We start from the raw sequence: 18,511 nt of genomic DNA on the forward strand, positions 1-18,511 counted from the left end.
GCTCCCGGGGCCTAGGAGCCCCGGGAGGGCGGGGCTTTGATGGATTGATTGGCATTTCCTTCCCCCGCTACCCTCCTGACCTCTGGGGAGGGCGTCTCCGTGGATGGCTGGTGGGATGGGGCGGAAGCCTCTTGTTGCGGACACCGCCCGGGAGCAGCGGGGCTGGAGCTTTGCCACTCAGGCCTCCCACGGTGCTGGAGCAGAAGGTGACCGGCAGCTGGCCTCCCTCACCCCACTCCACAGAGAGCTGTGTGATGGCCCGGGCTTTGAGGTCAAGACCTTCTGCTCTTAAGAAAACAGATCTGAAATTTTGGCATCAAAATAAAATATGTGCAGAGGAAATAAGTAACCCTTGGAGCGCAAGGCAGGCCATAAGATTGAAATAAAATGTCCAAGCAGAAACCAGAGCTAGGTGGCCATAGGTTCAAGTTCATCCCGGCTGGGTCATTCCTTTTGCTCTGAGCTCTATGGAGGACTGAACCCTTGCTCGGTGCACTCTGCCTCAGCAATCCATCAAGCTGTTTCTGTAAAGGACCAGAGAGTAAATATTTCAGGCGCTGTGGACCATCTCTGTTGCCACTATGCAGCTCTGCCCGTTGCATGAACGGAGCCACAGACCATACATAAATCAATGGTTATAGCTGTGTTCCCACGAAACTTTATTTATAAAAACAGACAGCTGTTCAGATTTGGCTTATGGGCTATATTTTACCAACCCCTGGCGTAGATCATGAAGACAACAGAATGATATAATGGTTCAAGGATATGGGCTTTGAAGTCAGGCAAACCCAGTTCCAATCTCTGTCCAAGACTTATTACTGCTGTCATCTTGGGCAAGTCACTTAACTCAATCAAGCTCAATTTCCTCATCTGTAAAATAGGATAATAATGCCTGCCTCACCAGGTTACTGTGATGATTAAATGATCTAATGAATGTAAAGTGCTTGACACTCAATAAATGCTGGCTGTTAATCATTCTCATTATGAGGAGAATTAAGTAGAATTGAGGGGAGGTAATTTTGAGCCTTTCACTGTTAGTTACTGCTATTGTTACTGGAAAGCTCCTGCACACCTGAGTAATGAGGGCTGGCAGTGTCTTTCTGTGCAAAAATTTATTTCCTACAATTTAATATTCCACAGATTCACTGCATGCTATTAAGTCAGTGGTTGCATATTAGAATCATCTGAGAACCTTTTTTTTTTTTTTTTTTTGAGACGGAGTCTCGCTCTGTCGCCCAGGCTGGAGTGCAGTGGCACGATCGGCTGTCTGCAAGCTCCGCCTCCCGGGTTCAGGCCATTCTTCTGCCTCAGCCTCCCGAGCAGCTGGGACCACAGGCACACGCCACCACACCCAGCTAATTTTTTGTATTTTTAGTAGAGACAGGGTTTCGCCGTGCTAGCCAGGATGGTCTCGATCTCCTGACCTCGTGATCCGCCCACCTCTGCCTCCCAAAGTGCTGGGATTACAGGCTTGAGCCACCATGCCTGGCCCATCTGAGAAGTTTTTAAATCTCCTTGCCCAGGCTGCAACCTAGACCAATCAAACCAGAAGCTCTGCGAGTAAGACACCGCCAGGCATCACTATAGTTTAAAACTCCCTGGATGATTCCAGTGTGAAGCCTAAGTGGAGAACCACTGGGCTACGTAGCTGAAAAGAACAGGGGAGAGTCCTTTTGTTCCTTACTACTCAAGAGGGCGTCCAGGGACCAGCACCATCAGCATCGCCTGGGAGCTTGTGAGACGTGCCGAATGTCAGGCCCCCCACCCTAGACCTGCTGAATGTGAATCTGCCTTTTGACAGAATCCCCAGGGACTGGGGTGCATATCTAGTTTGAGGAATATAGCTGTTCCACAGGCACCCGAACTTGGCTCATGAGCAGAATAACATGCAAAGTTTTAAAAATTACTAGACTTCAGGCCAGGCACAGTGGCTCACATCTGTAATCCTGGCATTCTGGGAGGCCAAGGCAGGCGGATCACTTGAGCCCAGGAGTTCAAGACCATCCTGAGCAATATGGCGAAATCTGGTCTGTAAAAAAAAAAAAAAAAAATTTAATTAGCCAGGTGTAGTGGCACCTGCCTGTAGTCCCAGCTACTGAGGAGGCTGAGGTGGGAGGATCGCTAGAGGCCAAGAAGTTGAGGCTGCAGTGAGCCATGATCACGCCACTGCACTCCAGCCTGGGCAACAGAGCAAGATGCTATCTCAAAAAATAAGACAAAAGAAAAAGTAAAATAAAATAATTTCTAGACTTCATCACCAACTCACTGAATCAAAATCATTGTTGGGTAGCCCAGGGATTGGTACTTTTCCCCAACGTTTTATTTGAAAAATTTCAGACATACAGAAATGTTGTACCCACATACTTACCACCCAGATCCTGTGATTGTCAAGATTTTGCTACATGTACTTTATCACAAATCTATGCGTTTATCCTCCGTTTATCTATCCATCAATCCAACTCATTTTTTCAACGCATGTCAAAGTAAATTGCAGGCATTAGGACACTTCATCTCTAAACACTTCAGTGTGCACATCATTAATTTTTAACAAGGTCTGTAATTGATTCCTGGGCTGTGAACCCAACATCCTACCTTGGGCATTCAGGAGTTATTAATCTAGTGACAATCTCTCTGTCCTGAGGGGACAGTAGCTAAGACATTAGAGAACAGTCACTCACCACTGTCTGTATTCTATCTCTTAGTATTTAGTTAACAATGGCATTAAGTGTCTTTAGCCATGTCTCCTAAACCTTCCCTGGTGTTTTTCCTCCAAAGAAATATCTCCAGGCAAAACACTCTACAGTCTTTCCATGTTCCCTTTGTAGAGACTAAGCTGAGTCTCCCACTGTAGTTATCAATTCTGCAGCCAACAGCCTTAAAGGGGCCTGAGAGACAGGATGCTATATCATCTTTGCTTCTGAATTTTGGCATATCATCGGTCAGGGTGCAGCAATTTCACCTACACATCTGGCTTTCCCTCCGTCTTGGGTTTTCTTTTGACAAGCACCTGTCTAATACAAAAATCCAAGCCCTGTCAGGGCTGATGTGAACTCTAATAAGAGATATTTTTCTGGCTAGGTCAACCCAAAAAGGAGGCTGGCCCTAGGACACAAGGCAGGATCACTCATTGTGATCAACAATTCAAGATCTTTTGAGAAAGAGGCTGACCATTCCACTACTGCACCCAGATTTTTTTTTTTTTTTTTTTTTTTGAGACAAGTTCTTGCTCTGTCTCCCAGGCTGGAGTGCAGTGATGCAATCATGACTCACTGAAGCCTCAGCCTCCTGAGTAGCTGGGCCTACAGGTGCAGACCACCATGCCCAACTAATTATTTTTTTAGAGATGGGGTCTCACTATGTTGCCCAGGCTGGTCTCAAACTCCTGGCGTCAAGCAATCCTCCCTCCTTGACCTCCCAAAGTGCTGGAATTACAGGAGTGAGCCATTGTGCCCAGCCTGCACCCAGCTTTTTAGGACTCTTCCAGAATCCCTGAGGTGGGGCTGCAGTTAGTACCAATTCAGTCTGTATTCTTCTGCTCCTCCCCAAGGTACTTGGATAGCCGCCAACGCTCATGGGATAAATTAATAGGAGTTACTGCCCCTAAAGAATTGCCTAACCACTTCCAAATGCTCTCTTCCAACAGTCTAGGAGAGGGCTGTCTCAGAGTCTGAACACACACAAGCCCCAAGTCGCTCTATGTCATAGATAGAGACAGCTGGGTCACAAATAGTGTCATACATCAGCATTTCCACCTACAAACATGAAAAGACACATGGGCTCCTCACTTCCAACCTTGCTCACTATTTTGCAGGCCACCCACTCTCTGTTTGCATGGGGCCTCTAACCTTGAAACCCGACACCCTCCTTTCAGGAGCCACCCATGTTTAAACAAATAAATACCCCAAAGTAACCCACTCCCTGGTGGTACTCAAATAAATGGCCCAGGAAGGAGGATGGGGGGAGGGGGACTCCTGGGCCTCCTATGCCACTGGCCTGCCACAGAGCATCCTTGGGCCACTGCTATGCACAGGGCCACATAGAGGGACAGCATAGGTGAGGGGAGAGTTTGCCGTCACTGGAATTCAGGAAAGAGGAGGCAGAGGGATGGATGGTGTCCAATCAAAGATGAAGATCTGGCCCAGCATGGTGGCTCATGCCTGTAATCCCAGCACTTTGGAAGGCAGAGGCAGGTGGATCACTTGAGGTCAGGAGTTTGAGACCAGCCTGGCCAACACGGTGAAACCCTGTCTCTACCAAAAATACAAAAATTAGCCAGGCATGGTGGTCGGCATCCGTAATCCCAGCTACTCAGGGGGCTGAGGCAGGAGAATCACTTGAGCCTGGGAGGCAGAGGTTGCATTGAGCCGAGATCGCACCACTGCACTCCAGCCTGGGTGACAGAGTGAGAGTCTGTCTCAAAAAAAAAAAAAAAAAAAAGAAAGAAAGATGAAAATCTTTGAAACATGCGCGGAGATTCTCTGTAACTCCCAGTTACTCAACCATAAGCCTTTAAATTCCTCTGGCCAGGGAGGGAGAGCTAAGAACCATTTGGTGGGTGGAGAGGAACAGGGATCAGTTATTTGATGAGTCAGAAACGCTTAAATGTAGTTCCGAGACTCTGCAGTTCTCACTCCTGCAGTGAGAAGGGGAGGGGTGGAGAGAAGTGGGAGAGGGAGACCCACAAGTCCAAAAATCTCCTTGTCTCTGGTTCAGTGGCGAGAACCACTGAAATGTCTTTGTTTCATGGAACGTGGAAAGCTAGGAATAAAGTCGCTGCTTTGTCACGAGTCAGTTGGTCAACGGAGTTGCTGCTATATTATTTAGGATATTTTAAAATCCTAAAAAGGATTTTAAAGCATAAGGAAGAAGATGACAATGGTCTGCTTCAGAGCTGTGGACAGCTTCCTATGAAGGAAAGGAAGGAGAAGAGATGTTCTCAAGGGTTGGCCTAGTCAGTTTATAGATGAGCAAGGAAAGTGTGAACTAGATTATACTAGAAAGCTGGCCCCATCCCCCTAAGTGTGTAAGGAAGTGAGGAGGAAAAAGGAGACCACGTTTCAAAAATAAACACAAACCCCAAAATAAACACTGTTAATGGAAGTGACTAATCAAGGGTGTGCTGAACTTGGTGGTTATTGATAAGATACAGGGAGAAACGTACTTGGAAAAAATAACAGATCCCCCCTTACCTTTTGGTAAATAAAGTGTTGGGGAGAAGGTGGGGGGATTAGGGTTCGGACTTGGTTCAATGCTGCAGCAGAGGTTTAAGACACAATTTCTCAACCTTAGCACTACCAACTTTGAAGGCTGGATCCAGACAGTTGTGGGGGCTTGCCTTGTGCATTCTAAGTTGCTTTTTTTTTTTTTTTTTGAGACAGGGTCTCACTCTGTCACCCAGGCTGGAGTGCAGTGGTGTGATCAGAGTTCACTGCAGCCTCAACCTCCCAGGCTCAAGCCATCCTCCCACCTCAACCTCCCAAGTAGCAGGGACTACAGGTGCATGCCACCACACCCGGCTAATTTTTTTGTATTTTTCGTGGAGATGGGGTCTCGCCACGTTGCCCAGACTGATTTTGAACTCCTGGGCTCAAGTGATCCACCTGCCACAGCCTCCCAAAGTCGTGGGATTACAGGCCTGAGCCGCCACACCTGGCCACTGTAGGATTTTTAATGGCATCCCTGTCCTTTACCTACCAGATGCCGGTAGGACACTTGCCCCTAGCTGGGACAACCAAAAATGTCTCCAGACATGCAAACAACCGCTGGATGGGAGTAGGGGGACAAAATCACCCCCACTTGAGAACCACTGGTTTATAATATGGGGCATAGCTCCTCTCAGTGAGAGATGGCTTACCATGACTTAGGGCTTGGCCTAAGCAAAATTTGAGGCTAATTCAGCATCTGTACTGCAGGCCTAGAATTTGTCATTCTGCGGCACTTCTCACTGTAGCCTGTTTTCCCCCTCCAGGGCCTCTGGCCGCTCTGCACTCCTGGCAGTCGGGGAGAAAACAATGAAAGGATGTGCCAGAGCCCCCATGCCCACCTTTGGCATGTATGGCTCTGTGGGTGCAGGATGGGTGAGTAGAGGTGCCTTCCTGCAGGGGGAGTGGAGAGACAGCAGGAAACACCATATCTGCCTGGAAGCTGCAGCCCCGTGTGAGGCCACAAGTCTAGTATCGTAACCCCTGGGGATGGATTTCAACCCCCACTCACCCCATCTGGCCTGGCACCTGTGGGCATTATGTAAACCGCAGCCCTGATTGTACGATGACTCAGCTAGAATGTACCCTTTGCAGTTGTCCTCATCCTCTCTCTTCGTATCACTGAAGAACAGAAGACCAGAGAGGTGAAAAGAAAGTCTACAGTGGCTAGCTGTTTGGGTCCGGATGAGTTTCCTCTTACTGCTGCAACAAATGGCCATAAACTTAGCAGCTTAAATCAGGACAAACCTATTATCTTCAATTCTGGAGATTAGAATTTCAAAATCGGTCTCAGTGAGTCAAAATCAAGGCATCAGCAGGGCTGTACTCTTACATAGGCTCTAGAGGACGATCCGTGTCCCTGCCTTTTCCAGCTTTTTCTAAAGGCCACCTGCATTCCTGGCCTCATGGCCCCTTCCACCATCTTCAAAGCCAGGACTACAGCATCTACAAATCTCTGACTCTCCTGCCTCTCTCTTAAAGGGACTGTTGAAATTACCCTGGGCTTAACCAAGAATTATCTCCCTGTCTCAAGAAACTTAACTTGATTACATGTTCATGGATTCCAGGGAGCAGGACATGGGTATCTTTGGGGACCATTATTCTGTCTACCACATGGACAAAGCCAATACTCAGCTCAGATTTCCAATTCCAAGTCCAGTGGGTTTCTGCTTGGGACTGCACTGAGAGCAAGACCATACGCACAGGATTGCACAGAAGAGCTGGCATTTTGGCTTTTATGGGAGAGGTCTTCTCAATGGTCCTCCTTAAACGACTCCAATAAGAATCAGAAATAAATACAAGAGCCTTCTCTTTTTTTCTTTTTTTCTTTTTTTTTTTTTTTTTTTTTTTTTGAGACAGACTCTCACTCTGTTGCCCAGGCTGGAGTTCAATGGAACAATCTCAGCTCACTGTAACCCCAGTCTCCCGGACTCAAGCGATCCTCCCACCTCAGCCTCCCAAGTAGCTTGGACTACAGGCATGTGCCACCAAGGCCAGGCTAATTTTTGTAATTTTTTTAGTAGAGATGGGGTTTGTTATGTTGCCCAGGCTGGTCTTGAACTCCTGAGCTCAGACGATCCACCTGCCTCAGCCTCCCAAAGTACTGGGATTACAGGCGTGAGCCACCATGCCTGGCCCTGAGCCTTCTTACCACGAAAACAGAGGCCGAAACCTGTAGATGTCTACTAAGGCCGTCGGTCATTAAAGCAATTATTGCCAGCCAAGAAAGCCTTCAAGGCCCACCGCAATCCAGATAGGCTAGCCAGGAACCTCCATGGAGTGAGCTATAACATGATGGGGTTTTATTCAATGGAGGATTTGTCTACTGAAGGAGGGAGGAACACTTGACTGAGTCAACTCAATAGTTCAACAAATGTTCTTTCAGATTCTGACCTAGGTACAGAATGCCAGTGAGAAGTAAGAACAGCCCTGGGCCTCACAACCTGGGGCAGTGGGTGTTGCTCTCATTGTCTTCACTTTATAAGTGAAGAAACAGACTTAGATCACAAGGGCAAGAGCAAAGGAGTCAGAATTAAACTCAGACCTGCCTAACCCTACAATTTGACTCTTAACTGTGTCACTATTTGGAATTCCATGGGACCTGTATTAGTCTGTTCTCATGCTGCTATGAAGAAATACTCGAGACTGGGTAATTTATGAAGAAAACAGGTTTAATTGACTCACAGTTCCATATGGCTGGGGAGGCCTCAGGAAACTTACAATCATGGCAGAAAGCACCTCTTCACAGGGTGGCAGGAGAGAGAATGAGAGCCAGCAGGGGAAATGCCATAGGCTTATAAAACCATCAGATCTTGTGATAACTCACTCACTAGCATGAGAACAGCATGGGGGAAATCGCCCCCAAGATGCAATCACTTCCCACCGGGTCCCTCCCACAGGAACTACAATTCAAGATGAGATTTGGGTGAGGACACAACCAAACCATATCAGGACCCATTCTATAAAAGATATGTAGGAAGTGCTTCCCCAGGAGTAAGGGTGATTACTTCTACCTGGGGAAGGTTAGGGGAATGTTTATCAGGGAGATAGTAACACTAGCAATAGCTAACACATGAGCTGGATGTATGACTCAGGTCCTGTGCTCTGAGAGCTACATATATTAATGCATACCTCCCTCTCCCACAAAAAAAGAAAAGAAAACCAGTGAGGTCAGTACTACTACAATCTTCAAATTATATAGGAGGATGCTGAGATGCAGAGATATGAAGTAAACAGCCTTAAATCACACAACCAACACAAGGTGGGGCTGGAATTGAGATGCTATCCCATCTCCTTCCTCTGAGCATTAGAAAGGCATCTAGGAAGGGTCTAATCCTGAGCTGGAAAGGCATCCATGGGCTCTCTGTAGGGGCTCAGAAGGGCTAGACAGCCAGCCAGCTGGAAAGCAATGCGGCATCTCATGCATTTGAGCATGTACAGGTCACTAATGGCTGTGCACAAAAAGGACCCCAGCAGGAAGCCATCCACTGGCCCCTGGACCAACACTACCAGGATCTTATTTGTTAGGAGGGCCAGAAAAACAGAGCTCGTCAATGTGCAAGTACACAGCTCTCTGGCTGCTTCCATTGGTCTCAAAGTTGCCTTGTCCAGAGGGGCCATTGACTATGGTGCATTTTAAGGAGGAGAAGAGACATCCAGGATGCCAACTGGGGTCCAGGAGACACAGCCACCTGTCCCACGAGCTCCAGAGTGAGCCTGACATAGGGCAAGTGGAAGCCACTCCTCAGACTTCAAATTCCTCTTGCAAGACAAAGGCTAACATAGGGAAGAGTTGTAAAAGACACTGTTTCCAGAAATCCTCTGACCACCCACAACGGTCTTGGCTTACAGAGTTTGCAGTGACCTAATCTGTATTTAGCAATGCTATCCCTTTGGTGGAGGAGGGTAAAGATTACCCAAATCCTGTAAGCAAAGCATCAACCACATCCTATGCTGTCTTCACTGACACACACCACTGTGCTGTCTAGGAATCAGGACAATCGTATGCCACTGTGCACCCAGGAAGCCTGACCTGCTGTGTCCCGAGTCTCACTCAACAATGCACACTATGGCGGCAGGTGTTCACTGCGCCGGGGATTTTTATTGGGTGGACTTGTGGAATTTAAAATCTCAGTTGCCTATCTCACCTTGAACAAGTAAAAATGGTTTCAGTTGCTTCTACCTTGCCCCATTTAAGTTTTCCCCAGAGATGGGCTGCTGAGCAGAGCTGGTGGGGACGTGGGGGATGGTTATGGGCAGTGGAGAGACAGGGAAAGGTGACACCAGCCTACCTGGTCTGTCTTGCTCAAAGCCCTTTCCTTTCCCTCTCCATCTCCCCAACCCACGATTCAGAAAGCTGCAGTAGAATCGGCTTCCCTCAGCTGCCCTGATGCGTTCCTCCCCAGCGATCTGCTTTCTACAAAAAAAAAAAAAGTGTTCTAAATAGAGCGGAACTGAGCATGGGGCCGCAGCCCGGATGAAGTCTTCCCCTCCCTGGAGAGCCCAGCGTCTCACATGGAGGCTGGTCCACCCCCAGTGCCTCTTACTCAAAGCATTTTTGACCCGGGAGCACCCGACCTTGACTGAGTGCACAAAGCTACCACAAATGGATTTTGCTTCTGCAGCATTTTGCCCGGGCTGGAGCCTTCCTCCCTCCCAGGCATCCCAGATGCCTTCTCTGGTCTCCTCTCCTTGCATCTGCCCTTACAGGCATCTAGGGGATCCTATTCCAGGTGAGGACTTAAAGTTCTGCAGCAGTCAGAGTTCTCCAATAACTTGCCTGGTGAGACTGGATGGCTCAATTAACCCAACTGGACCGCAGCATTCCCAAGACCGAGGTCTGAGAACTAGGACCACCAGCTCTCTCTCACAGGATTAGAGTGTTGGGTTATAATTTTTAAGTTAGAGTCTCCTGTTGCTCTCAAGGGGGCCTGAGCATCAGTCTGGGGGTGGGTCCCTTGACATTCCTCCTTGATTCTGGAAAAGTCTACCCAAAGCTCATACCCACCAGGTGCAGAGCCAGCAGCAGCTTTTTGGAATCAGCCATGGCACACACCTGGTTCTGTGCATTTCACCCATTAACACACACATCAAGAATCATTCCAATGCCAGCCAGGTTTATTAATGAGGTTCTCACACCCTCTGGAATAAGCATCCTATCCTTCAGTCCTCAAAAGACAGGGCTCCCAAAGGGGAGAGTGACTGGTGGTTTCTCTTACCACCATGACACCAACTCAACCCAGGTACCAAGCCTAGGCCAGCTGGCCCTGTGACAGCCCTGGACCATCTTTGGAAGAAGGGTGGAGGGGTGGCAATCTGGAAGGGAGGAGGTAGGCAAGCAGAGGTGGGAGGACTCAAGGGGAAGTCATGAGTCCCCCCTCTCCATCCCCACTTCCTGGGGCCTCCACTGAGTTAAAGCATAAGGAATCTGAAGCCAAACTGATTGTATGACCAGTCAATGAGTCAGTACCACCCTGCTCTTCATGGCCTCTCTGAGGTCAGCACCTCCAGGATATCCGTTCACCCAACCAGGCAGAGGCAAGGAGTTTAGAAAGTGAAATTAACTATGGGGTATACCTCCTTCCTTCGCCATCCCAACACAGAAAGAAAATAGAGGGAAGAGGGGAAGGAGGGGACTGGAGAGATAGCTTAAAGTGTGTAAACAGGAATCCTGGATTATACAATCCATTCATAAACAAGAATAACACTTGTTCAAAGACGGTTTTTCGGCTTTGTTTTTTGCCTCCTGTCATGCACTTCTGAGCTAGGAAATATCCGTTCTTCTCTATTCCCTTCCTCTCCAGTCTGTTTCAGAGCAAGAAGAAAACTTAAATGCTGAAACAAGGTATTTTTCCCCCTCTGGATGAACTGTTTTACAATAAGCTACCTGCTGGGGTCAGGAAACGTTAGATCAGTGGCTTTCTGCTCACACAAAAACTCACACAGGGGGTCAGGCTGAAGACTGCCCCCCTCGACCCTCCACAGAGAGATGGTCACCCACATACAACCCCTCTGGATCTGTGCCACCTTTTATTGGAAACAATTTCTCCCTTCTGCTTCACCACTTTGCCCCTTGGTTCTCAGTCAACCAATGCTCCGAACTCTCCTGCACGCTGGAGGGGAGCAACCCCCAGCCAGCGCACCTGGGGCTCTGTGTCCACAGGCTCATGGGAAGTTGGAAGGTGAGGGGTAGTGGGAAGAAGACACGGGAGGGAAGGAAAGAGCTGTGCCCCATGCGCCAATAGGAAACATATTTCCTTTACTATTAAGTGTGTTATACTCAGAAGAGGGAGGAATGATCAAAATCAAAATAAATAGCCAGCGGAAATAGGCAGCCCCTCCCTGGGAATGGTAATTACACAGGATGGAAGTTTATCCAAACACTGGAGAAAAAATGGTTCCTGTTGGAGGACAGGGAAAGGAACGTTCCTTACTGGAAAGGAAATTTGTTTATGACATTTTATTTGCTCCTTATTTTTTAATGCGCTTCTGGCCCCATGTCCTGTAAACAGACCAGCTTTTCCATTCTCTGGCAGTGCCAGGAGAGCCAAAGACCAAACAGGCGGAGCTGGTGCCAGGATCCTGGGCCACTCAGGTCCTACAATTACAAGAGCCGAGGCCCAGGCCAGGGGGTCTGGAAGGGGGCCTTGCTGGCCTCTGCAGTATGCAGGGAAGGGTGTGATTTGAAATCTAGGTGTGGAAACGGGGAGAAGGTTCTCTGCCTCCTGAGCTCCCCCGAGGCTTGGAATCAGCTCTCTCTCTGCCCCAGTAGAGGGAGAAACAGGAAGGGCTTCATGCACCCAATGTATATGTCTCATGAGTGTTTTGCAGGGTCTCTGCAGTCGGTAGGTGAAACTGACAGATTCTGGAGAGAACTTGGCCTTTAGGAAAACGCCTGACTGATGTTAAAGTCACGTGAGACTGATGTGGTGTGCATGGTGACCAGAAGGAGAGACCATTGAGTGCCAGTGTCTGCAGCTCAGCTCTGTCCCCAATCCCAAATAAAACCGCCACGGCCAGCAAGAGTCAGCGACACCTTCCCACAGCCGGACAACAGAGACGCAATGGCAGAAGTTCACATTTGACGTTTCCTCTTCCCATCTGGGCATAGAGATCATCTGAGGCAGAGTTATGGCAGACGGGCCCTGATGGCGCCATGTTCAGAGTATAGAGAGAGCTCCGACGCCACACTGCTTGGGCGCTGTGCTCCTGGCTCCGCCCTAGGAGCTGCACCTGTAATATCTCGGCCAAACTTTGCAATCACCCAAGGAAGCAGTTTAAAGGAAGGAAACTGAGGCACAGAGGGGCTTAGTCACTCACTCAAGGTTACACGGCTAGGGGCTGGTGAAGAAGCTCAGGCCCAGGCACTCTGGGCCAGAGCTGTCGTCCTCCACCATGACTCCATCCTGCTTCCCTTTGAGAGCCAGTAAGCCTGGGCAGAAGTCCTCAACTCTCTGAGCCTGGTAGTAGAAAAGCACTAAGCCTGCACACCCAGGCCTGTGACAATGGGGCATCCAGAAGGCCAGACCCACGGGCCTCAATGGCCACAACAGAGGCCAATAAGCTGCACCTCAGTAGCCCCACAGGGGGTTCAGTTTGCATGGCAGGAGCTGCAAGTCCTCCCCAGCACTCCTGTTCTCCACCCCCTCCTTCCATGGAGTTGGACATTTCCCAGCTCTCTTGCATCCAAGTGGAGCCTTGGGATCAATTCCTGCCAATGGAAAGTGAGCAGAAGCGATGGGTGTTTCTTCCAGGCCAAGATGGTCAAACAGGTGCATGTCCTCTCACAGCACTTTCTCTGTGTTCACTGGTAGAAGAGGATGCCTCTGAAGGTAGTGATATCCTAAAACAGAGGGAACCTGGGTCCCTGAATTTCTGCATGAAAAAGAGCCTCCGGTCCCTACTATTGCTAAGTCACATTTAACTAATGTGTAAATGAGAAAAACTTGTCAAGTGAAGGAACTGATATATGGAGGTGTTTTGTTGCAGCGGCCTTTGGTGACTGATACATAGAGAACCACAACACTGCCCTTAGGGACAGGGGCCTATGGGTGGTCTCTACAGCAAGTCAGTACACCTCCCTCAGCCCACAAAACAAGGTCTCTATCCTTCTCCCAAAGCCACTGCGAGATTCCAAGGAGAAGATTTACAAAGAGCTTGAAAACTGGAAAGTCCCATAAAACCACTGAACTTCATTATTTCCTGAATGGCCTGATCTTTCTTGGCTGAATGTTATATCATTTCTCTCATGTCTGAAGCCGTGCCTAGTGACTGTGGTTCACAGATGACAACCTCTTGGTCCAAACTCTTATTTTATTGGTGTGTATGAATTAAGAATGGGGTGAGCTTTCAGTGTCTCTCGTCTCCCAAACAGGCAAAGCTTCTGCCCTACATGTCAGTTCTCTTCAATCCTCCTTTATCTGCTCCACACACCCCCATACCACCACCCCCACCCCCACCCCCACAAACCCCCAGGAGGAGAAATCAGGAGTCAAGGGAGACAGACTTTTCCTCCCAGGGCCTGCTTGCCCCTGAGTGGTGCCTTTTCTCCCTTGGCCTTTGGTCCTCAGGTGGTAAGACCTTGAACCTAGGTCCAGTTCTCATGGCAAGGGATCTGCCTATTAACACCGAAGGTCTCTACCTGTGAGGTTGGATATTAATGGGCAGGTCCCTTTTGTTTTTTCTGTAGTTCTCCCTATTAGACAGAGTGAAATTATTTGGATATTAATGGGAAGATCCTTTTTTTTTTAAGTTCTCCTTATTAGACAGGGTGAACGAAACCCTAGAAATTTTGATCTAAACTTTTGAACTGATATTTTTATTTCCCACCCTAAAAATGAAACTAGCTCATGGGGTAACTGGCAAAAATCAGACATAATTCTATTTTCAGGAAGAGTTTCTACATGGAAACCAACCAATCAGGCAACAAACAAAATTTCTCTGCTGTTTGGAAAACACTTTCTTTCTTTATTGATTTTTTGAGTCAGGGTTTTACTCTGTCACCCAGGCTGGAGTGCAGTGACTCAATCACAGTTCACTGCAGCCTTGACCTCCCAGGTTCAACCGATTCTCTCACCTCAGCCTCCCAAGTAGCTGGGACTACAGGCATGCACCACCACACTTGGCTATGTTTGTTTTTGTTTTTGTTTTTTTAATTTTGTAGAGATGGGGGTCTCCCTATGTTGCCCGGGCTGGTCTGAAACTCCTGGGCTTAAGTGATCCTCCTGTCTTGGCCTCCCAAAGTGGAAAACACTTTATTGATTACTCCTGAGCAAGCAAAAAAAAAAAAAAAAAGGCAAATTTGGTGGTACACACAATAACAGGTTGGTAATAGGAAAAGTCAACTCAACATCATTTTTGTACATCCTACCATGTAAAAGCCATCATGCTGCAACTTCACAAGCTCTGAATTTCAGATTGTCCATGACCCTGGTTTTGAATCTCAAAGTTCACATAAAAGACTTGGTCAAAGCAATTGATTACTGTAAAGTCTTGTTTGCCGATGATTAAATGAGAAGTATATGAAATGCCCATCACAGTGCTTCCCATGTGACCATGGACGTTTGGGAGCATTTCAACGATAAATTTCAATGAGTAAACAATGACTCAGTCCCTATTCTTATAAAAGAGAGAGAAAGAGAGTTGGGAGAGAAGAGGGTGCCAAAACAAGTCCATTGTAAGTGCAGTAAATGAGATACTAAAGTGCTATGGTCAAGGAAGGAAGACTGACATTTTTTTGAGTACCTATGTCAGAATATGTGAGGGAGAGGTCACAACTGGTTGAGAGGGAAGGAGAAATCCAGGACGGCTTCTGAGAGAAGGAAGCATTTGAGATGAGCCTCGAAGCATTCGTAGGATTTCAGTACCCTGGATGCCCGATGTCTATCCTTTAAAAAATACTCCTCTGTGAAGAATTGCCAAAGGATTAACGATCGTGCTGAATTCAATAAAAAATCATTACTGGGCCAAGCATGGTGGCTCACACCTGTAATCCCAGCACTTTGGGAGGCTGAGGTGGGAGGATTGCTTGAGTGGAGGAGTTCAAGACCAGCCTGGGCAACATAGTGAGACCCCCATCTCAAAAAAAAAAAAAAATAATTACTGGAATGTGCAAGAAACTTTCTGAAGTAAGCAGTTCTAGAATGTGAGTAGTGATTTGGGAAGCCATAGTGCCCCACGTAGATTAATAAGATGCATCCTGGGCTGGCGCAGTGGCTCACGCCTGTAATCCCAGCACTTTGGGAGGCCGAGGTGGGTGGATCACGAGGTCAGGAGATCAAGACCATCCTGGCTAACACGATGAAACCCCGTCTCTACTAAAAGTACAAAAAATTAGCCGGGTGTGGTGGCAGGTGCCTGTAGTCCCAGCTACTCGGGAGGCTGAGGCAGGAGAATGGCGTGAACCCAGGAGGCAGAGCTTGCAGTGAGCCGAGATTGCGCCACTGCACTCCAGCCTGGGCAACGGTGCAAGACTCTGTCTCAAAAGAAAAAAAAAAAAAAGATGCATCCTGGACAGTCACTGGGGTGGACCAGGAAATGGGCACTTAGGGTCTGGCATGGAGCAGTGTGTCCTGCTGTGCTGTACATGACAGTGGGTGGCTGTTAGCAAGCACCACCCATGAGACCGTAGCACCCACAAACTGCAATGTTTTAGAATAGCCTGGATTACACTGTGGATGTTTAAAGCAAAGGATAAACAATGCTCCATCTAGTTTAGTTTCACTGCATCTCCTACTTGAAAACTGAATAGACTCGGTGGCCATCCAGCCCCTCTTGTCCCGATATTTCACTCCATGGTGAGTCACAAGCCCTGGTCAGACCCTAATGGACACAGCCCCACCTTGAACAGTTCCTCTTTCAGGCTGAAATCATCTGCTGGGTATGAAGACTCAGATGGGATAGGAAAGTTAAAACTTAGAAATAGGCGTGCTCTGTTCTTTTCCAATGCTTGTCATTATGCTCATTTTCGTGAGGGACAAGGCCTTTGCCTTACACCTGGGACCTAACATTAATAGTCCAGGAGAGAGGATGGAAGGGACCCAGGAGGACCACCTGCTGGAGTCACTACCCTGAGCCACCACATCCCGGGCATCGGCAATTCCTGGGCTGGCCAGAGCCCTGGGCATAGACAGTTCTACAAGCAGAACATGTTTTTCACCCTTGCCCTTCTCACCCCTCCAAAACCCAGACCTAAGTTACCGAAAAAGGCGGGACATAGTGGGAAGGGGGCAGGTGAAAGAGGAAGAAAAGACGGAGATGGAAAACAATTAAAAAAAAAAAAAAAACTCCAACAGAACTCGATAACCCGAGGGCCCAGTGATCGGTGCCGCACGGCATACAAAAGCCAAAAGGCAGGTCCCAGGACGGGTCAACTTAAGACTTAATATTTGCCTTTCACTAAGCAAACTAATAAATCCCCTATGGTTTTAGCCACGCAGAGCTCCCAGTTTTTATTTATTGGTCAAAACGGCAGGCAGGGTTTCTTTTTTTTTCCCCTCCCAGCCACCCTGGGGGTAAATAGTGGTCCCCCTTCCACCCCTCCTGTCATCAGCCTGTATGTCTATTTACCTTCTCCCTCAACAAACTCATGTTCAGTGCAACTGACAATGCGTGCAAACAGCTTTGAAGTATTCTTTGGTAATGGACTTCCCGGACAGCCCTGTTTTTGACTTGCACAGCCAAAGGCAAAGGGAGAAAGGGCTACTGCTTGTCAGGAACCAGCTGGGCCAGGCAAGGCTGAGAACTTGATGCATGGCAGGAACCTCAGAGAATCGTCAAGACCAACCCCTGCCCCTTCTCTGTCCCTTTTATAGATGAGAAAACTGAGACCCAGAGAAAAGGCTAGAGTGACTCACATGTGACCCGGACTTAGTTGAAGCCAAGGGCAGGGCCGGTGATCAGGTTTCCAGACCCCTCAGTTTAGGGCTGTCTTCAGGCCTCCCTCCACCTGTTCTCCACCAGCCTGGCATATAAGGGTCTTATCCAAGGTCAGTGACCACTTCCAAGGTCACCTTGAAATCCTTTAAACTGCAGCCTCCTGAGCAGAGGGACTTGTTTCACCACGAGAACCTCCTATCTCTCCTGTCAACATGACTAATATTTTCCCACATGGGTTTCCAGGGCCGCTTGAAGAGGATCAAAGTTCTCCTGTGGATCAAGTTCCAATGCCATGGAAAATCTCACAGGCGAGGCTGAACAAAATTGGGGGGTGGGGGCGGTGTCGGGGAGCTAATTTGAAATAGTTATGTTCATAATGAAATTAAGGCAAGATGAAATCACTTTACATTGCACCTTGGACAATGTCTAACGTACTATTCTAACATGAGACCTAAAACCCCAGCAAAACTTTAAGACATGGACTCCTAGAAGGCTGATAGCTTATCCATCAAATATGCCAGCATCGTGGATGTCAGAACTATTAATAGAAGAGGCTCCAGGGATCGTGTGGCCCAAACCCCTCATTTTATACGGAAGGAATTAAGATGATGAGGAGCTTTCTGAGACAAAAACTTAGGTCTCTCTGCCTCCCTGCACTGTGCTTTTTTTTTTTTTTTTAAACCAGAACAAACATGGGGAAGAGGGCAAAAAGCATTTAGCACAAAATCTCATTAAGAAATTGACATTCATGGCCACCTGATAGTGTATGAAACACTCTTTAAAATTCAACTGCTTCCCCATCAGGCTGGGTATCACTCAGCCTCTCTCATAGTCCTCTCTCCCCTGGGCTGAACGATCCCTTGCCTGATTTGAAAGGGGATTCCTGCATTAGTCAGAGATAAATCTAGAGAAGAGTGATGCTTTAGACCACTTCAGCCTCTCAGGTTCTGTGATTGCATATGGATAAGGAGATAAGAAAAGAGAGGGCCAGGCGCATTGGCTCACATACTTCAGGAGGCCAAGGCAGGAGGATTGCTTGAGCCCAGGAGTTCAAGACGAGCCTGGGCAAGATGGTGAGACCCTGTCTCTACAAAAAAATAAAAATAAAAAAAATTACCTGGGCATGATGGCATACAACTGTGATCACAGCTACTCGGAAGGCAGAGACAGGAGGATTTCTTGAGCCCAGGAAGTCGAGGCTGCAGTGAGCTGAGATCATGCCACTGTACTCCAACCTGGGTGACAGAGTGAGCCAGAGAGAGAGAGTGAGAGAGAGAGAGAGATTGAGAGAAGAGATTGTTGCCTTTGACATAAGATCAGGACTTCTTTTGAAACCAAAGAATGAAAGTAGAACATAAATGAAGGGATCATCTGAAATGCCTTCATCTTTTAAAAAAGAAAAATGGCACCCAAGGAGGTGGGTGAGCATCCCT

General features: G+C 47.9%; 4 annotated features.

Moving 5' to 3' along the window:
- Nucleotides 3,548-4,049: an enhancer, noted in NCBI's record as "H3K4me1 hESC enhancer chr17:70382797-70383298 (GRCh37/hg19 assembly coordinates)". NCBI's record gives its function as "activates a minimal SCP1, AML or CMV promoter by ChIP-STARR-seq in primed H9 embryonic stem cells {active_cell/tissue: H9 hESC(primed)}" and the evidence as "EXISTENCE:reporter gene assay evidence [ECO:0000049][PMID:30033119]".
- Nucleotides 4,050-4,549: an enhancer, noted in NCBI's record as "H3K4me1 hESC enhancer chr17:70383299-70383798 (GRCh37/hg19 assembly coordinates)". NCBI's record gives its function as "activates a minimal SCP1, AML or CMV promoter by ChIP-STARR-seq in primed H9 embryonic stem cells {active_cell/tissue: H9 hESC(primed)}" and the evidence as "EXISTENCE:reporter gene assay evidence [ECO:0000049][PMID:30033119]".
- Nucleotides 9,545-9,594: an enhancer, noted in NCBI's record as "active region_12669". NCBI's record gives its function as "activates an Ori minimal core promoter by ATAC-STARR-seq in GM12878 lymphoblastoid cells {active_cell/tissue: GM12878}" and the evidence as "EXISTENCE:reporter gene assay evidence [ECO:0000049][PMID:35858748]".
- Nucleotides 17,160-17,454: an enhancer, noted in NCBI's record as "tiled region #2052; HepG2 Activating DNase matched - State 1:Tss". NCBI's record gives its function as "activates a minimal TATA promoter and a strong SV40 promoter by Sharpr-MPRA in HepG2 cells {active_cell/tissue: HepG2}" and the evidence as "EXISTENCE:reporter gene assay evidence [ECO:0000049][PMID:27701403]".

Source organism: Homo sapiens, chromosome 17, assembly GCF_000001405.40.
Source record: "Homo sapiens chromosome 17, GRCh38.p14 Primary Assembly".
Lineage (NCBI taxonomy): Eukaryota > Metazoa > Chordata > Mammalia > Primates > Hominidae > Homo > Homo sapiens.